The sequence below is a fragment of the Homo sapiens genome, chromosome 4, assembly GCF_000001405.40.
Source record: "Homo sapiens chromosome 4, GRCh38.p14 Primary Assembly".
Classification (NCBI taxonomy): Eukaryota; Metazoa; Chordata; class Mammalia; order Primates; family Hominidae; genus Homo; species Homo sapiens.
Window position 1 is genome coordinate 115,616,831 of NC_000004.12, and position 746 is coordinate 115,617,576.

The following is a 746-nucleotide window of genomic DNA, read 5'->3' on the forward strand; positions in this document are numbered from 1 at the left end:
GTGCTGGCAGTCTCAGCCAACTGTTCTTCAAAGGACTATACACAGCTACTTAGAATCATAGCATCATCTTAATATTCCCAGATACTTTAATGAGTTTTCACTCTAATTAAATGTGCAACTTGCAGAGATTATTGGGTGCCAGATTGCTGTGACTGGCAACAGGCTTTCTGTGTTCAGAATCAAATTTTATATCACCTAAACACATCTATTTTTAGTAGTTTCATTATAGATGAAGTTAGGCTTTATTTCAATTAAATAACTTACAAACTAAGTAAACAATTACGATTTTCAGGAGTGCAAACAAAAACAAAGTAGAGGAAATAAAAACAATATCCACCAAGAAGGAAAACAGATGGAAGAAATAAAGTTCATCAAAGTTCAGTGTTAAAATTTCATGTTGGAATGTTAGAATACTTACGGGCGTAACACCATGGTGTGGTGGCATGTTACTTCCATCTCTAAGTGGTGATTAATTAACACCAAATATATTTTTGCTGCGGCTTTAACAAGGTTAAATGATGCCTTATGCATTGTATGGTAACTTTTGTCAGAAGTCACTTTCAAAGCATCTTTTTAGCTGCAACAATCACACATTTTAACCATAAAAATACTTAACATAAAATATATTCTGTAAGTTTTAAATTTTAGGTTATTTTGTACATTTTATTTATTTTAAAATATTCTGAGCTGGCCTGTGTTAAAAAGGGTTTACCAGTTGTTTTCTGCACACTACATTCAATGTTGTG